Below are 15,027 nucleotides of genomic sequence, written 5' to 3'. Positions count from 1 at the left end.
CTGTCTCTAAAAAACCCTGTCTCTACAAAAAGTACAAAAATTCGCCGGACATGGTGGTGCAAGCCTGTAGTCCCACCTACCTGTGAGGCTGAGGGGGGAGGATCACCTAAGCCTGGGTGGTGGAGGCTGCAGTGAGCTGTGATTGTACCACTGCACTCTGGTCTGGGCAGCAGAGTGCAACTCCTATCTCAAATAAATAAATACATAAATAATAATAAAATAAACTAAATTTTAAGGCTTGTAAAAGTCTAGATTTTAAAATTTGGAACTTTGATAAATTAATAACAACTTAAAACTCAAATGTAAATGGTCTTTTTCTATACACACCCACATGAATTTAGTGGGATAGCAACCCATTGATGACTGGGAGAAAAGAGATGTGGAAGAAAGTCAAAGTGGGCTGGGACATGAAGCAACAAATGAAGTCACATATTCTTTTTTGTTTGTTTGTTTTGAGGCAGGCTCTTTCTCTGTCGTCCAGGTGCTGGAATGCAGTGGTGCCATCATGGCTCACTGCCTTAACCTCTTGGGCTCAAAGGATCCTCCCACCTCAGCTCCTGAGAAGCTGGGAGTATATGCAGGCACCACCATGCCCGGCTAATTTTTTGTTTGTTTTTTTTTGTAGAGATGGGTTTTCGAGATGTGGCCCGGGCTGGTCTCTAACTCCTGGTCTCAAGGGATCCGCCTGCCTCAACCTCCCAAAATGCTGAGATTACAGGTGTGAGCACCATGCCCGGCTGATGTCACATATTCTATTTTCTTTTAAAATGAGATATATAGTAGTTTTAAAAACAATAGCCCCCCCCCCCAAATCTCTGATACACTTTATATTGAGAAGCGGGAGGGAGGGTTCTATGTCCTCTCCTCCTTGAGTTTGGGCTCTGTGACTACTTGTGCAATAGAATATGGCAGATGTAGGCTGGGTACAGTGGCTCATGCCTGATCCCAGCACTTTGGGAGACCAAAGCAGGAGGATCACTTGAGGCCAGGAGTTCAAGACCAGCCTGGGCAACATACTGAGACTCTATCGCTACAAAAAAAATTTTAAAAAATAGCTGGGCGCAGTCACACACGCCTATAGTCCTAGCTACGCAGGAGCCTGAGGTGGGAGGATTGCTTGAGCCTGGGAGGTTGAGGCTGTAAGTGAGCCACCATTTTGCCACTGCACTCCAGCCTGAGTGACAGAGTGAGATTGGCAAAAAAAAACAAAACACAAAAAAACAAAAAACCAAACAAAAAAACCAAGCAAGGCGGCTTACGCCTGTAATCTGAGCACTTTGGGAGCTGAGGCAGGCGGATCACCTGAGGTCGGGAGTTTGAGACCAGCCTGGCCAATGTGGTGAAACCCCATCTCTACTAAAAATATAAAAATTAGCCAGGCATGGTGACGTGCACCTATAATCCCAGTTATGCAGGAGGCTGAGACAGGAGAATCATTTGAACCTGGGAAGTAGAGGTTGCAGTGAGCCCGGATTGCGCCACTGCACTCCAGCCTGGGCAACAAAGCGAGACTCTGCCTCAAAAAAAAAAAAAAAAAAAGAAAGGAAGAAAAGAAGAACTTGGCAGATATGGTACTGCCATAGGGTGCATAGGGTGCATAGGGTGTTGTCTTAGTGCATGTGATCAGGCATGTTAGGACTAATTCCGGATTTATAGTCCAAAACCCTGTCCAAAGCAACAGAGGCCAAAAAAACTTTGGGGAATACCTAAGCTGGGTGGGGGAAATCCCCCCAAAAATCTGCTTCCAGGCTCAGGCCTTAAGTAACTGACAGCTTTCATTTCCTCTCTCTTGGGATGCTTGGTACACAGCCACCATGCTGTAAGGAAGCCCAAGCCACCCTGTGGAGAGGCCCACGTGGAGAACCACAGCCAGCAACAACAATGTGTGTGAGCTATCTTGAAAGTGGAGTTCCAGTTGAGCTGCCCCAGCTGACAGCATGGAGCACAGGTGAGTTGTCCTGCCAAGCCCTGCCCAGATTGCAGATTTTTGAGCAAAATAAATTATTGTTGTTTTAGACCACTAAGCTTTGGGGTGGCTTTACATAGTCATAGATTAGACATAGTGAAGTGCACAGATCTTAAATGCTCAGCCTGATGAATTTTTACATATGTATAAAACCATGTAACCATTAACCAGGTTAGATATCGAATACGTGCATCTTTCCAGAAGGTTCCCTAGTCAAACAGCTTCTTTGAAATGCTATCCAGGCACCTGAACTATTCGTTCACAGTTCTGGACAGCTCAACATTTATTTTTTCTCAGCGATGTTTCCAAACTTAACTGAATTAGAAACACTCTCTTCAGCATCATCGATGAAATAAAAATAGGCTCTGGTGTGTAGGCCAGAAAAGAATGAAGGCTCAAATGGAAGACAACCAGACTTCAGTCTGTAACCTCTGGGAAGTAGGTCGGCAGGAAAATGAGCTGATCTGCTCTTAAATCTCCCATCAGCAAAGTCACCTCGTAAAATTCAAGTGCATAGGGTGCTGTCTTAATACCTGTGATCAGGCCTGTGAGGGCTAATTCGCTATTTACGTCCTCAACCCTGTCCAAAGCAACAGAGGTCAAAAAGGCTTTGGGGAATCTTTAAGCTCGGGGGAGGAGACCCCCCAAAATCTGCTTGGCCAACTGCTTTACTTCAAACTGTGGGTTGATTTCCATTAATCACACTTGGCCCTAATTACCCTGGAGCAGCCTTTCTTCCTCTGGTCTGGAGCAGGAATTTTAAGGGGTTCCTGACAAAGCAGGTCCCTGAAACCAAACAATAGTGGAGGCTCCAGGAAAACACTACGTGAGGAGGTACGTGTCCATCCCCAGTCCTCTCCTGCCTGGAGACTCAAGTTCCAGGCTTGCTTGTGATCTCCCCAGGTAGGAACCTGAGTTCCTCCACTAAATAGATTTTCCTTTTGTTGTCACATTAATTTGCAACTCATTAATAGTGACAGAAGTGAGGTACTGCACCGATGCCATTTGCATATTCATGAGTGACTTATTATTAAACAAATAAGATTTTCCTATCTTCGAGAGCACCCAAAGTAAGGCTGAACAGTACATTACACCGGCCCCGATGCTTTATTCTCTCTTTAATATGTTAATACATGCAGTTGATTTCTTTAAGTAAATACGCATCTATAAAACAACACGTACTTTATGAAAAAGAAATCATTTAAATAATAATCCATTAGCAAAGTTGGCAACAATTTAAGAGGAACAACCCATTAATACCAACGCGTGGGAATCAATTTGCGAATTTTAATTCGGTTGGGTGGTGGGTTACCGACGACCAAGGAGGAGGACCTGCGAGTGTGTGCGCGCTTAGGAAAATATTTTAATGAGTCTCCGGACATCAGGACTCGAATCCTTTGCTTCAGGTGCTGGCTCCCAGTAGGTCGAAAACTGCGAGTCCTCACGTGGATCAGCGTTTTGCCGATATCCTCTGGAGATTGCAGCTGTGGGCCAAAAGCAGGCCCGACCGCCACGTCGACCCCGCGGCTTTTACGGTGCCCATAGGTTCCCCCATCGGCAACGGGTTAAGTGGGGTGGGGGCGGGGCAGGGCCTGGTCTCCTGGCGAGGCTGCCCCACCGAGCTGGGACTGGTGCCCTGCCCTCCCGCCCCCCTCTCCCGGCACGGGTTTAGTCACAGCCGGTTCCTTCCAGCCGGGGTCAGGGTGGGCTCCCCCCGCGGCGACGAGGAGCGCGGGGCCAACCGCGCACCCTTATCTCGGCCGAGTCAGACACTCGCCGCGCGGAATCTGTTGACATTTACTATTGTTCGCAGGAGTCCGGAGCGCGGGGCGGGGGCGGGGGCGGGGGCGGAGGCGGGCCGAGGAGAGGCTAGGCGAGAGAGGGCGGTGAGTGTGGGGCCTGCGGGCGGCGTGTGTGTGTGTGTGTGTGTGTGTGTGCGCGCGCGCGCTCGTGGAGCGGGGGAGGGGCCGTCTTCACGGAAAATAAAAGTGGCCGGCGGGCCCGGAAGCTTCCACGCCAGCTCACCGGCCCACGCCGGGAATTGAGGTGGTGGTGGGGGGTGCTCAGGAAGGAAGATGGGGCAGCCGGCGGTGGGTTCCGCGGGGGTCGGGGTGGGGGCGGCTCCAGCCGCACGGCCCCCAGTGACCCGCAGGACACAAGTGCATTTGTGCCGAGTCGTGGCGGAGATTAAAGTGCCATACGGCCCGAGCAAGGGGGGCGAGGCGGGTGGAAAACAACTCCCCGCGCGCACAAAGCGCGCATTGTTCCAGCCACCTCCATTATGCCGCGCTGCAGCCAAGAGCCCGTTTCGCAACTGCCCTCCCGGCACTCGAGCGCGCGCGCGCGCGCGCACACACACACACACACACACACACACACACACACACACACGAATTCGCCCCGGCCGAGGCCGGGGGTGGGTGCGCTCAGCCGGGACAAGGAGGGGCCGTCTGGGCGCAGTAGGCGAGGGGCGGCGGGGTGGGGGTTCGCAGGCGTCTTTTTCAGCTCGGCTGCCTGTCTTTCAGGGCTGGGCTTTTTAATGTCTTCTCTTCCTAATCGCCTCCCCGGCACTTTTCCGTTTCTCTGGCTCTTGGGGCCTGCCCCGAGCGCACCCTGGAGACTGGAGCTCCCCAGGAGAGGCGGCGACGGCGGGGGTGGGGGTGGAGAGGGCGCGCTCTCAGTCGCTGTCACCCGAGGATCGCAGCCCCAGGCGCGCAGCGCTTGCCTGCTCTGCTGAGGACACGTGCGCGGGAGGAACGGGGAAAGCATCCCGCCTTTCAAGGAGAGGCTCCCGGAGCGCCCCCTCCCCGGGCTCTCTGGCACTCCAGGATTTCCCCCGGTCCGGAGCGGGAGCTGTGGAATCTCGCGCCGCGTCGCCTGGCCTGCCTGCCCTTCCGTGCCAAGTGGGCCAGCTCGGCCACCCCCACCCTAACCACTCCGGTGCCCGGGCCCTGTCCTCCGCCCCCTCCGGCTTTCATGGCACTGGATAGGCGTCCCGAGAGGAATGTAAGGCTTGCCAGCCTCTTAGGACCCTGTTCTCCCCTGGCAGCGGAGCGGGAGCGGGGGAGGGGGGGCACAGAACCAAACCCCACCTCCCTCCACCCGTCGCGCCCTCCTGGTGGGCAGGTGGGGAGCGAAGCAGCCGGAGCGCGGCGAGGTAGCGCGGTCTGGTTTCCTTTACGTTTACAAGCTATAAATAAACTTCCCCTTGGGCGGATGCGCGCTGTGTCCAAGGGCGGCTTTCCGCCGATTCCGGCGGGTGGTTTACGATCTGGGCCGGGAGCTGGTCCTAGCGCGGCCTGAGCCTAGGGTGGGGCGCTGGCTCCCGGAGAGCTCAGAGGTCGGCCAGGAGTGGCTGGGTGAACCTCCTCTTCCTCGTGGGGCTAGGGCGCCTCTGCACTGAGGCCCGAGGGTGGGGCTGGATGATTTATGAGCCGTCACCCCACCCCGCCTCTCCCGTTTCACTCGTTTTCCTCGTCTTCTCCAGCTCAAACCCGGTTCCCAAAGTCTATCCCCAACCCTGCCCAGCGACCATTTGGCAATTTCGGGCTGTTGGAGCGCGGCTCCGGCTCCCGCCCCGGCGGGGCGCGTGTGCACAGAGCGTGGGTGAGGCCCCGAGTGCTTTCACCAACCGCACTCCTGCCCGGGGCGAGGAGCCGACTAGCCGAGCCCGACCAGGCTGGGCGGCCGAGAGCGGCCTTGGCCGGAGAAGCTGGGAGGAAGGGCTGGCTGCGCGACTCCGGAAACCCCCTTAAGGTCACCGGGCGCGGGGAAACCGCCAGCCCACACCAGAGCAGAGGCCACTGCACCAGTCGGGACCAAGCCGCAGGTCTCCACATGGCCTCTGCTCTGGGGTATGCAGTTCTGCAAAGGAAACCCAGAGGTTGCGATAGAAGACGTAGCGCGGAGGCCACCACTGGTCCCAACACTGTGTCTTCCACCAAAGGGGTGCCGTTTCGCTCGGCCTTGGTACTCACTCTGTGAGCGATGGAGGCAGGGCATCCTCGAGTCTCCCGCACACGTGTGCGTGTTGTGTGTGTGTGTTGGGGGGGTGGCTAGTGTACGTGTATAGGCTTATGGGGACAATAAAAGGAGTGGGGTGCTTTTGGCAGCCGCTACGTTTCTTTCCGCTGAGACTTGAGAGGCCAGGGAGCAGAGGCGGCCAGCCGAGTGGGCGAGAGCCCGGCCTGACGTGGGGAGGAGACGTCTTCTCGTCGGGAGGCTAGGTAGCGTGCGCCCTCTTCCCTCCCGTCCTCTCCCCGCGCCGCGCCGCGCCGGCCGCAGCCGGCAGGCTCGCTCCTCTGCCCGGTGTCTGTTTAACCCTCAACCCCTCCGCGGCAGCTGCGGGCAGAGGGATTCCTGGCCGCGCTAATCCTGGGGCTGGACCCCAACCCTGGTCGCCTGGAGCGCCCTTAGCCCTCCCGAACCTCGGGCCCGAAGGTCCCAGGGTGCCGGCACTCCCGCCACCCAAACGGGCCTGGGGGCCGTCAGGGGTCGACAGAAGGGGACCCTTGGCAAGGTCCCCATTGTTCCCCCGGGGCTGGGAAGCTGACTCACGCTCTGAGCACAGAGCGATGCGGAGTGTTTTCTCGGTAGCCTTTACCCGAGTGCTTTATTTAGACAGGCTTTATTTACAGTACACATGTTTTCGGCTCGTTATTCTGGAGGCGGGAATGGAAACTGGGCAGAGCAGGAGTTCTCCCCGTCAGCCTCACGTTTGGAAGGAGTTGAGAGTCAGCCGAGTCGAAGGATCCCGCTCCTGCTTGCTGTGTTCTCTAGGGAGATAATGTCGAAGAAAACAGTGAAGGGGTGGGAGTGGAGGGCGCTGGGGAACACAGAGCGTCAGCCTCTCCCATAGTGCCCACGCTTCAAAATGCATAACACCCAGAGGAAGGTGAGACATCCTCATGCCCATTTTAGAGGGTTCAGAGAGGGCAAGGGCCGCAGAAGGTCACACAGACAACAATCGGTTGTGCGAAAAGGGTCTTTAACTCCATTTCTTGGGCTTCCTCACGGGTTTAGACCTCCAGGATTACCCAGGTCTTGGTCTCTCGGGATTCCGGGAAGGGTCTTTCCTGGCGCCTCGAGTGGAGGTCAAGGCCAGCCAGGCGACTGGAAGGCCTCTGGTTGCCAGTCTGCAGTCAAGCATCCTTTTTGGCAGCGGCTCAGTAAGTGGGGTGGTCTGGTTAGGGACTGCAGGAAATTGTCTGAGCTAGATTAAATATTTTACAAAACCTTCGGGGGGCCTACGGTTGACTTGAAGCTGGCAATGTTAAACCAAACAAAAGTTAACGAGTTCTCTCCTGACTTTTTAGGTACAGTTCAGAGAAAACGGTGGGTAGCGCTCTTTAGAGGAAGCAAGTTTAATAGCGTTTCCTCTCATTTTTCTCCGTATCATTCTCTCTGCTGCTTGTAGAGCCTCATAGCCTCTCTGGGGCTGGGGTGGCAGAAAGGCCTCTTCGGGGTCCCTCTTTGAAAGGGCTGCAGCCGACTTGAGCTCCTGCGGCCACTGAATTCCATGCTTCTGACTCCTGCTTGGAGTAAAGTGCAGCCTCACCGGAAGTGCATGGCCCTAGGAACTGCACAGGACACAGTGCAGACACCTGAGGCCTCTTCTGGCCTTCCCCTAGGGCAACCCACGGGGTGGGAGGAGAAAGGCCTACACTTCAGGACTCACGACCTAGTAACAGCCTTTTCCTCGTTTTCTCTCCCTCTTTTGAGTCTTTAGCTGCAAATCCTGCACTGCTTTCTGAGGGTTGTCCTCAGTGTTTCCCTCCCTGAATCGCACACCCTTTTGTCCCTGCCTCCTGGCTTGAGTGTGACTGCTCCCTTGCACGATGCCCACCCCATTCCCATATTCAAGTTGCAGTGTAGAAGCTCTGCAGGCCAGAACTGAACTGCGGCCCTGCGAGAGAAGGAGGCAGCTTGACCTTTGCAGGAAGGGAAGAGAAGGCAGATTCACAGCTCGCAGCGCTGCAGGGAGACACAGAGATGCAGGCGTTGTCACAGCACCAGCAGCTCTAAGGGGAGCCTGTAAGAGGAAACCAGCTCCAGGAGGCGAGGGAGCTTCTGTGCGGAGTGTGTGCCCCAGCGAGATGCACAGGCCGCGCAGTGAGAGAGGAACTGCCTGGGGGAGCTGTGGCTGCTGCCAGCTCAGCGCAGTGTGGGGGTGGGATGGGGGCTCAGAGAGGCTGGGGGGCTAAGATTAGGGCTGCCGTGGAGGATGGGGCCTCTGGAGAAGACAATAACTAAAGGAAGCTGCTCTGAAGAGGCCAGACCACCTGCGTATGGCTCATCAGATGGGGGGCAAGGTCCCAGCAGCTTAGGAAAGTATGCCCTAGGAAAGATAGATTTGCCAAAGGACACAGAGACTGGAGCTTGGTTGGGTTTTTACACATTAATTTTTGGGGGTGGCATCTTTGAGACAGGACCTTCCTAGGGAAAAATAGAGAGCCCTATACTTCTAAATCCCAGGGGATCCCAGGCGCAATGAGCTACTCAGCGGGCAGCCCAGGCCCACCTAGGGTTTGTGTCCGGGCAAGGGGCTCCAGAGCGTGCAGCCCACATAGGTCCCTAACCAGGCTTTGGGGGAGGGGGTGGGTAGTGAAGGGGTGTGCCCGCTGTATATAGAGGCAGCTGCCATTTGAGGGTGGAGGTGGGGAAGGTGATGCCTCAGCTTCGGCGCTGGAAACCATTGTTTGAGTCTGCACCCAGCGCTTCTCCAGCAGGGCTAATTCTCCACGTGTCCAATTTTCGTGTCTGAAAAAAAACAGCAGCACAGAAACAAAACCATATGACAGGACTGGGCTGCAAACCTTGAAGAATCGAGAGGGTGGCGGAGGTTGCGGCTGGGAAGGGGGAGGGTAAATGTGTGTGTGTGTGTGTGTGTGTGTGTGTGTGTGCCTGTGTGTGTGTGTTGGGGGCGGTGGGGTGGCGCACAACTCAAAGTTTCGGCTATTTCCTACCCGATCTCACCTCCCGGCGTGCTCATCTGATGCAGTTCCAACTCCCTCAAACGATTCCGCAGCCCCAGCGCTTGCGGGAGTGTGGAATTACAGTCTGGAAGAAGCGAGGCGCTGCCGCGAGAGGCGACGCACCGAACCCGGGAGTGCGGAAGCGCAGGCCGGCAGCAGCGCGACCCCTGGGCAGCCTCTGGGCCGCGGTCAGCCCCTGCGGCTCCGTCCTCCTGCCGGTCCCGAGCGGAGAGATGGGTCAACGCAAACCCTCAGCAGGATGGGGGGAGGGGAAAGAAGGGAGACAAGGCTTTTCCCAGAAAGCGGAGGGGAACTCGCTTCCCATCTCCGAGGCGCGATGATGCCCCCATCCCCCGCGCCCCGACCTCCCTGAGATTCGTTTCCTTAAAAAATAGCCAAAGGCCAAACATTTAGCTACGGGTTGAGTCTTCTTCCCACCCCCACCCGGTGCCCTCTCTGAGTTCTCTAAACCCACGAGGCGCTTTAGGCCTGGCGTCCCCCGCCCTCCCCCGCTTCCGCCTGTGCACGAGCCAGTGGCGGTCACTTCTGCGACTCTTTGGAGGCCGACGGCCAGGAGCTTTGTTCTCCTGGGGCTTCCTGCCCCTCCCCCCTCCAAGTCATCCCGGTTTCCACACTTTATCTGCGCCCCCCCTTTGACGTCCGCGCACACAAACAACCCGGGCCTATAATCTCATTAGCATAGGTCTCGGTCTGGGTGACCGCGAGGCTCCCTGCGCGCCCGCGCGCAGCGCTCTGTTTCGCTGCAAGCCGGAGTTTCCACCATGCATGCACCCGGGGCGGGGGGCGGGGACGTTCCGGGTGACAGTGTTGGCTTTGGGGCAGGCCGGGAAGAGGAGGCCGCCCGGGGCAGCGGGAGCCGCGGGAGGAAGGCCCCTCCCAGCGCCCAGTTGCCTTGGTCCCCGGAGCAGATGGCAACTTTGTCTCCTGGTGTGCGCGCAGCGACTTTCAACACATTGAAAAAGCAGTGCTCAGGCTGTCGGGGAAGCCTCGCTGACATTCAGAACCGATTAAAGACCCGAGACGGTGCCAGGCGCAGTGGAGAGTTATGAATTAATCATGGGGGTTACCGATATCTGAGGCTCCCCAGGGCAGTCCTTCTATTATAAGCAGCCCCCACTGCCCACTCCTGACCCGCTCCCCCCTCCCCCGCCGCCGCAAAGGGGTAGTCGCGGCGTCTTTTGCACTGCCCCAATTAACAGCCACGCGGTAATGTGAAAAGTGTTTGCCCTGCCACCCTCAGTGCGGTCTCAGGCCGGGGCGCTGGGCCTGCCAGACGCTCGCGGAGCAGCTCAGTCTTTGGGATAGGCCCGGAATGAGCTCTGTGCTCTGACCCGGGTATGGGGTGGAGTGATGCTCGTTCTCTGCCTCTGTGGCCCAGGTTCAGCTCCCTTCACCACCGTAGAAGGAGGCCCTAGATAGTGGGCGACGTCGGGGACCACCTACAACCTGGGTGCTTGTTTTGGGTCCCCAGAGCAGCTACAGGCTCGTGGTTTCGCGTTGTGGCTCTGGCGATGTTCCAGATATGGAAAAACGAGGTTCGTGTGTGCCGTGGAACTCCGCAAAGTCCCTGGGCCTCCTAGGAGGAACCCCCATGTCTGGAGTCACCCTAAATGACCCGCACCCCTGGGAATCGAGGCACACATCTCGACCACCGAACTTGCCGTTCTGCGTATTGTTAAATCACGCACACCGTTCTAATCTCCCCTATTTATTTCCCAGGCCTGCCTGGCCACAGATTTCTGCAAGACGGAGCAGGCTTCGGGTTCCTCCTGCTTCCAGAGGGGCCATAAAAAACAGATGGTCTCATTAGGAACAATTTATGCATATATATTTCGAAGAGTTCAGCAGAGCCGGCGTAGGTTTGCAGCCCCTGCGTCAGGCAAGAGCAAAATATCACCACTTGCAAATGTTTCCAGTTTGCAAAATAATGGCCTATCCAAAGTAGCTAAGCAACGAATTACTCAAACACTAGAAGGTTAGATGCCAATATTATCACATTCGTCCTGTTCCTTAAACCGTCCTCCTCCGCGGTCTTTGGATTTCGGATGGAGGCTCCTGGGCCTCACACCCCTACGCCCGCGGCTTCCTTTCATGACTATTTCCAATCTCCAAGTCAAATCACTTATTAATTATAGAGGCAACTCGAGCAAACCCAATTACCCGTAGGCAGCCCTTCCCAGATGGGAAGTCTGTCTCGCACGGCTCCCACGGTGGCCCAGTTTCTTCTGGGGAGGTTTCTTTTGCGTCCGATTTCTTTTTGTCAGTGGTCCGCCAGCGGCCCTGAATGTTTCCTCTGCCTGATTCTTCTTCCTAGAGGCAACTCCATTTTCTTACCCTGTTCCCTTTCCTTCTTCCAAGGAGACATCCCCGCCCCTTAGGAGCCGCTGCCTTCGGGCTAAATTTACCGCCGCGCCAAGTTTAAGCCTTAGGCGTTGCAGATCTGGCGTAGGAATGGCGGAAGCTGTAGACAGAGCCCTATTCATTTGCAAAGGCGGAAGGCAGAGTGATTCGCTCAGTTGGCTGCCCCTCGTCTCGTCTGTCCTCCCTTCAGACGTAGCCGGTGGCTTAGGTTCACCTCGGTTTGTGGGATGTGTCCTAGGACTCCGCGAGGCTTACCCCTGGTGGGAAAAAGCCTACTTCACTTTTAATGTCCTCACAGTTCTGGCCATATGGTAATAATAATGCTAACCACCAGGACTTTGTGCTAAGCATTTGACATATAACTATATCTTCTTTAAACCTCGTAGCCACACTTATACGAATATCCCTCCCATTTTGTAGATAAAGAAACTGAGGTTAAGAAACTGGCCTCAAATCACACAGTTAGTTGAAAATGAAGCCCTTAATCCAAAGCCTGAGTTTGCATTCACAGCGCCAAAGACACCTTCCAGAAGAGTACAAACCATAGGGGGCGGTTGGGGGCCTGTTTGCTTGCAGCAAAGGACGCCTGGGAGCGCAAAGGCCTCGGAGGTTGCAGTCAGGAGGTCTAGGCGTCGAGCTGCGAATAGCAAAGCACGCCGGCGGGACTCCAGGGAAACAGGCACACCTGGGATTTGGGGCGCTAGGGGAGCTGTGCTGGCTAGGGGCAGAGTTTTGGGGTGAAGCGCGGCTGCTAGAGTCTTGCAGCGCGTGGAGCTGGGTACTGCCACCCTTTCGCTACCGCAAAAGTCGCTTCCTCGGCTGTGGTGCCCTTGGGACGCGCTGTGGGGTGCGGTGGGCTCGCCTTGGCGATCTTGAGGGTGTGCAGGGTGCGGGGAGCCTCGGGAGGGTCCCCAGGGGTAGTTGGCCTCGGTCGCGCTGCCAGGGCACCCTCGCTAATATGGAGCCAGCAGTTCCGCGGAGGAGGGGAGGGGAGGAGAGGAGAGGGGAGGAGAGGGGAGCCGAGAGAGGGATGCGCGGGCGAGCTGGTAACCGTCTGCAGCGAGGAGTGTAATTGCCCCTGTGACCGCGGGCGACGAAGGCGGGGCGCTCGCCTGGCCGCCTCCCTCCCACTCCGCCAGCGGCGCGGAGCTGGCTTTTGGCCGAGAAGGCGCGGAGCACCTCCAGGGCCTGGCCGGCTCAGCGCTAGGCGAGGCCACTCCTAGCCCTCGCCGCTTGGACAGCTGTCCCCGGCGCTCCAGCCTGGGGCCTTCCACAGCGCGGGGCCCACTTCCCTCTGCCCCCAGGCCAGTTCAGGCAGCAGCCTCCCTCTTCTTTAGGGTGCGCCCTGGCCGGGGCCTGGGGCTGTCAGCTGCGCCCTGGTGACCCCGCCGCCTCCTTCCCTGGAGAGCGGCGTTGAGGGGGCGAGGCGGCCACCCTCGGATGCCAGGTGGCTTATGTGACCCTCCACCCCACGCCCTGGCCAGGGCGCACCCTGAAGCCGGTGCGCTTCGGGTCGCCCTGGGCCACCACAGATCAGCAAGGCCGACCTCGGCTGCGCGGCACTTGGCCGTGGGTCCCAGGGTCAGAAGGTAGAAGGGCCGTCGGGGCAGTCTCTGCGCCCCCGGATCTCCCCGCGCTTTCGGCGTGTGAGCTTTGTCCTTTGGTGGGGCTCCTGGCCACGGGCCGAACGGAGGGGGCCGGGCCGGAGGTGGGGAGGGAGGCCGAGGCCGGCCAGGGATTCCGGAGTTTGTAACCCGTGTAGTTTCTGGCTTTCACGGCTCGTTTGAAATCCTCCCACAGGAAGATGTCTGCCAAGGAGGCCTGCGCGGCTCGGAGCCCCGCGCGGCCACCCGGGTGTGTGAGTGTGCGGTGTGTGTGTGTGTGTGGATGTGTGTGGATGTGCGTGCCTGCGCCCGCTATTCCCGGGAGGGGAGGGAGAGCCAGCGCCGGCACTTTCCCGGCGGCAGCGCTGCGAGAGTGGCGTGCGGCGCAGGGCCTGGCACCCAGGGCTCGCCCGCGCCCCGGGCTCGGCCCCGCCGGCACCCCGCGCCCCTCTAGCGCCTTTCTCCCTGCCCCCGCGGCAGGAACTGTTAACCCAGGCAGGTGACGGCGCCCCGGCGCCCGTCGTGCGTTGGTCTTTATACCTCGTGAGTTCAACACTAATGAGTTATGGGTTGGCCCACGAAAACATAATGTGTAAATTAGGAATTTAATGATGTGTAAGATTAAAAGCTGCGCAGGGTTGCATTTATTTAAGGCTGCCATCTTGTGTTCGCAGAGAAATTACTTGAACGACATTGACCCCCCTCGCCCAGAGGACTGGAAATGGCGCGGGGGCGGGGGTGGCTTGTGGGGTTCCAGGCAGTGGGACTTGAGGCCCCTCGGGGCTGTTGTAGGGTAGGAGGGAGCCCTGCGCGCGGGCTGGGACTGACTTTGGGTGGTTGCCTATGCAGGAAGCCTGTAGAGCGGCAGATTAAGACCCCTCCCGCCCCATCCTCTTTCCTGGGTCCAGGATTGGCAAGACTCGGGGTGGGGGGGTCGTCAATTCTTGGAAAAGTTATTGCTCCAACCTGTCTTGATGCCCTTCGTACTTTGTAGGGGTTGTTTCCAGAATTCAAAAGCACCTCTTTTTATACAGTTATTATATTATTGTCTTTTACCCATTTCTCTTTAGTTGCCCAAACCCAAGCTGCAGGGGTTGGGTCTGCCCTCATTAAGATAAAACCTGTCCCGTGAGCTAACCTGGGTTCCCCCAGATACAGACAGGCCAGGACTCTGGATCCTGAATCCTTGGGTTTACACAAATTTGCGTCACTTTTTGTGGGATATTTTCTTCCTTTTTTGCAAACTCGATGGGAATTTGAAAGCAGAGATTCCCTGCTCTTATGCTCTGACATTGGGGCTCCCTGCCCTATCTATGCCTGCGTGCCTGGGCACAAGCCAGCAACCACCTCCACCTTTGTCATGTTGATCCGGGATGATATCTCTGGAACTAGGGAGATTTGTCTCCTGCAGTTTTCTTTCTGCAGCAAAGGCTCCTGTCGCTGTATGTGCCTTGAGGCTTTCTCACAGGTGCTTCTCAGACCCAGGGGAGGCCTGTGATGCCATCTTGGGAGGCCAGACCAGAATTGCCACCAGGCCAGGCCTTCCATCTGGTTCCGCTACTAGGGTGACTTGCAGATGGGATTCCTCTCATGGCCACGAGATCTGAGACTTCTTGGACAGTCTCTGGCCAGCCCTGCAGCAGCTGCCTTCCTCCCTCAGGGACTGCTTTCTGCTTGGAAGAATGAGATGGCTTGGGATGGATGGAGTTGTAGCGCTTTGGGGGATCGGGCAGGCATAAAAACAGATGAAGAAAGGATCGGTTCATGAACTTTTATTTAAGGAATGAAGGCTTGTCTTGGTAAATTATAGAGTACCAGTGCCCCGAGGGACTTTCAAAGGCTTCCAGTGTGTGTTTTCTAGGCCTTGAAAGAGTTAATTGGAGAAATGCTGCTCCTGGTTTGTCTGTTTGCTCAGGCCCCACACTTATCTAACCAATCGCTGAAGGGATATAACTTTAGAAGTTTCATTCTCTTTCCCACTTGGCTGGGAGTTTCAGAAAACCCCTGCTTAAGTAATCATGATAATCCTTTCAAATTCCTTAGGGTCTGAGGCCATTTGGTGTTCCCACTGGAGTCTTGTTAAAAAAAGGCAAGGAGAGAA

General features: G+C 56.6%; 1 long non-coding RNA gene across 1 annotated transcript, besides 7 other annotated features; it reads right to left on the bottom strand.

Annotated features, from left to right (window-relative positions):
- Positions 3,742-4,241: an enhancer, noted in NCBI's record as "H3K27ac hESC enhancer chrX:39873755-39874254 (GRCh37/hg19 assembly coordinates)". NCBI's record gives its function as "activates a minimal SCP1, AML or CMV promoter by ChIP-STARR-seq in naive H9 embryonic stem cells {active_cell/tissue: H9 hESC(naive)}" and the evidence as "EXISTENCE:reporter gene assay evidence [ECO:0000049][PMID:30033119]".
- Positions 4,898-4,987: a silencer, noted in NCBI's record as "silent region_20740". NCBI's record gives its function as "represses an Ori minimal core promoter by ATAC-STARR-seq in GM12878 lymphoblastoid cells {active_cell/tissue: GM12878}" and the evidence as "EXISTENCE:reporter gene assay evidence [ECO:0000049][PMID:35858748]".
- Positions 5,979-6,702: an enhancer, noted in NCBI's record as "H3K4me1 hESC enhancer chrX:39871294-39872017 (GRCh37/hg19 assembly coordinates)". NCBI's record gives its function as "activates a minimal SCP1, AML or CMV promoter by ChIP-STARR-seq in naive H9 embryonic stem cells {active_cell/tissue: H9 hESC(naive)}" and the evidence as "EXISTENCE:reporter gene assay evidence [ECO:0000049][PMID:30033119]".
- Positions 6,198-6,247: a silencer, noted in NCBI's record as "silent region_20739". NCBI's record gives its function as "represses an Ori minimal core promoter by ATAC-STARR-seq in GM12878 lymphoblastoid cells {active_cell/tissue: GM12878}" and the evidence as "EXISTENCE:reporter gene assay evidence [ECO:0000049][PMID:35858748]".
- Positions 6,549-9,493, bottom strand: LINC03053 (long intergenic non-protein coding RNA 3053). The gene is made up of 2 exons (XR_007068218.1): positions 8,942-9,493; positions 6,549-8,725 (listed from the first exon to the last, which is right to left on the bottom strand). It is a non-coding gene; the product is annotated as a long intergenic non-protein coding RNA 3053 (long non-coding RNA).
- Positions 9,726-10,353: an enhancer, noted in NCBI's record as "H3K4me1 hESC enhancer chrX:39867643-39868270 (GRCh37/hg19 assembly coordinates)". NCBI's record gives its function as "activates a minimal SCP1, AML or CMV promoter by ChIP-STARR-seq in naive and primed H9 embryonic stem cells {active_cell/tissue: H9 hESC(naive and primed)}" and the evidence as "EXISTENCE:reporter gene assay evidence [ECO:0000049][PMID:30033119]".
- Positions 11,573-12,509: an enhancer, noted in NCBI's record as "H3K27ac-H3K4me1 hESC enhancer chrX:39865487-39866423 (GRCh37/hg19 assembly coordinates)". NCBI's record gives its function as "activates a minimal SCP1, AML or CMV promoter by ChIP-STARR-seq in naive H9 embryonic stem cells {active_cell/tissue: H9 hESC(naive)}" and the evidence as "EXISTENCE:reporter gene assay evidence [ECO:0000049][PMID:30033119]".
- Positions 14,023-14,545: an enhancer, noted in NCBI's record as "OCT4-NANOG hESC enhancer chrX:39863451-39863973 (GRCh37/hg19 assembly coordinates)". NCBI's record gives its function as "activates a minimal SCP1, AML or CMV promoter by ChIP-STARR-seq in naive H9 embryonic stem cells {active_cell/tissue: H9 hESC(naive)}" and the evidence as "EXISTENCE:reporter gene assay evidence [ECO:0000049][PMID:30033119]".

The sequence above is a fragment of the Homo sapiens genome, chromosome X (assembly GCF_000001405.40).
Source record: "Homo sapiens chromosome X, GRCh38.p14 Primary Assembly".
NCBI lineage: Eukaryota > Metazoa > Chordata > Mammalia > Primates > Hominidae > Homo > Homo sapiens.
The sequence above is the reverse complement of the archived record's forward strand: the minus strand, read 5'-3'. Positions and strand labels throughout refer to the sequence as shown.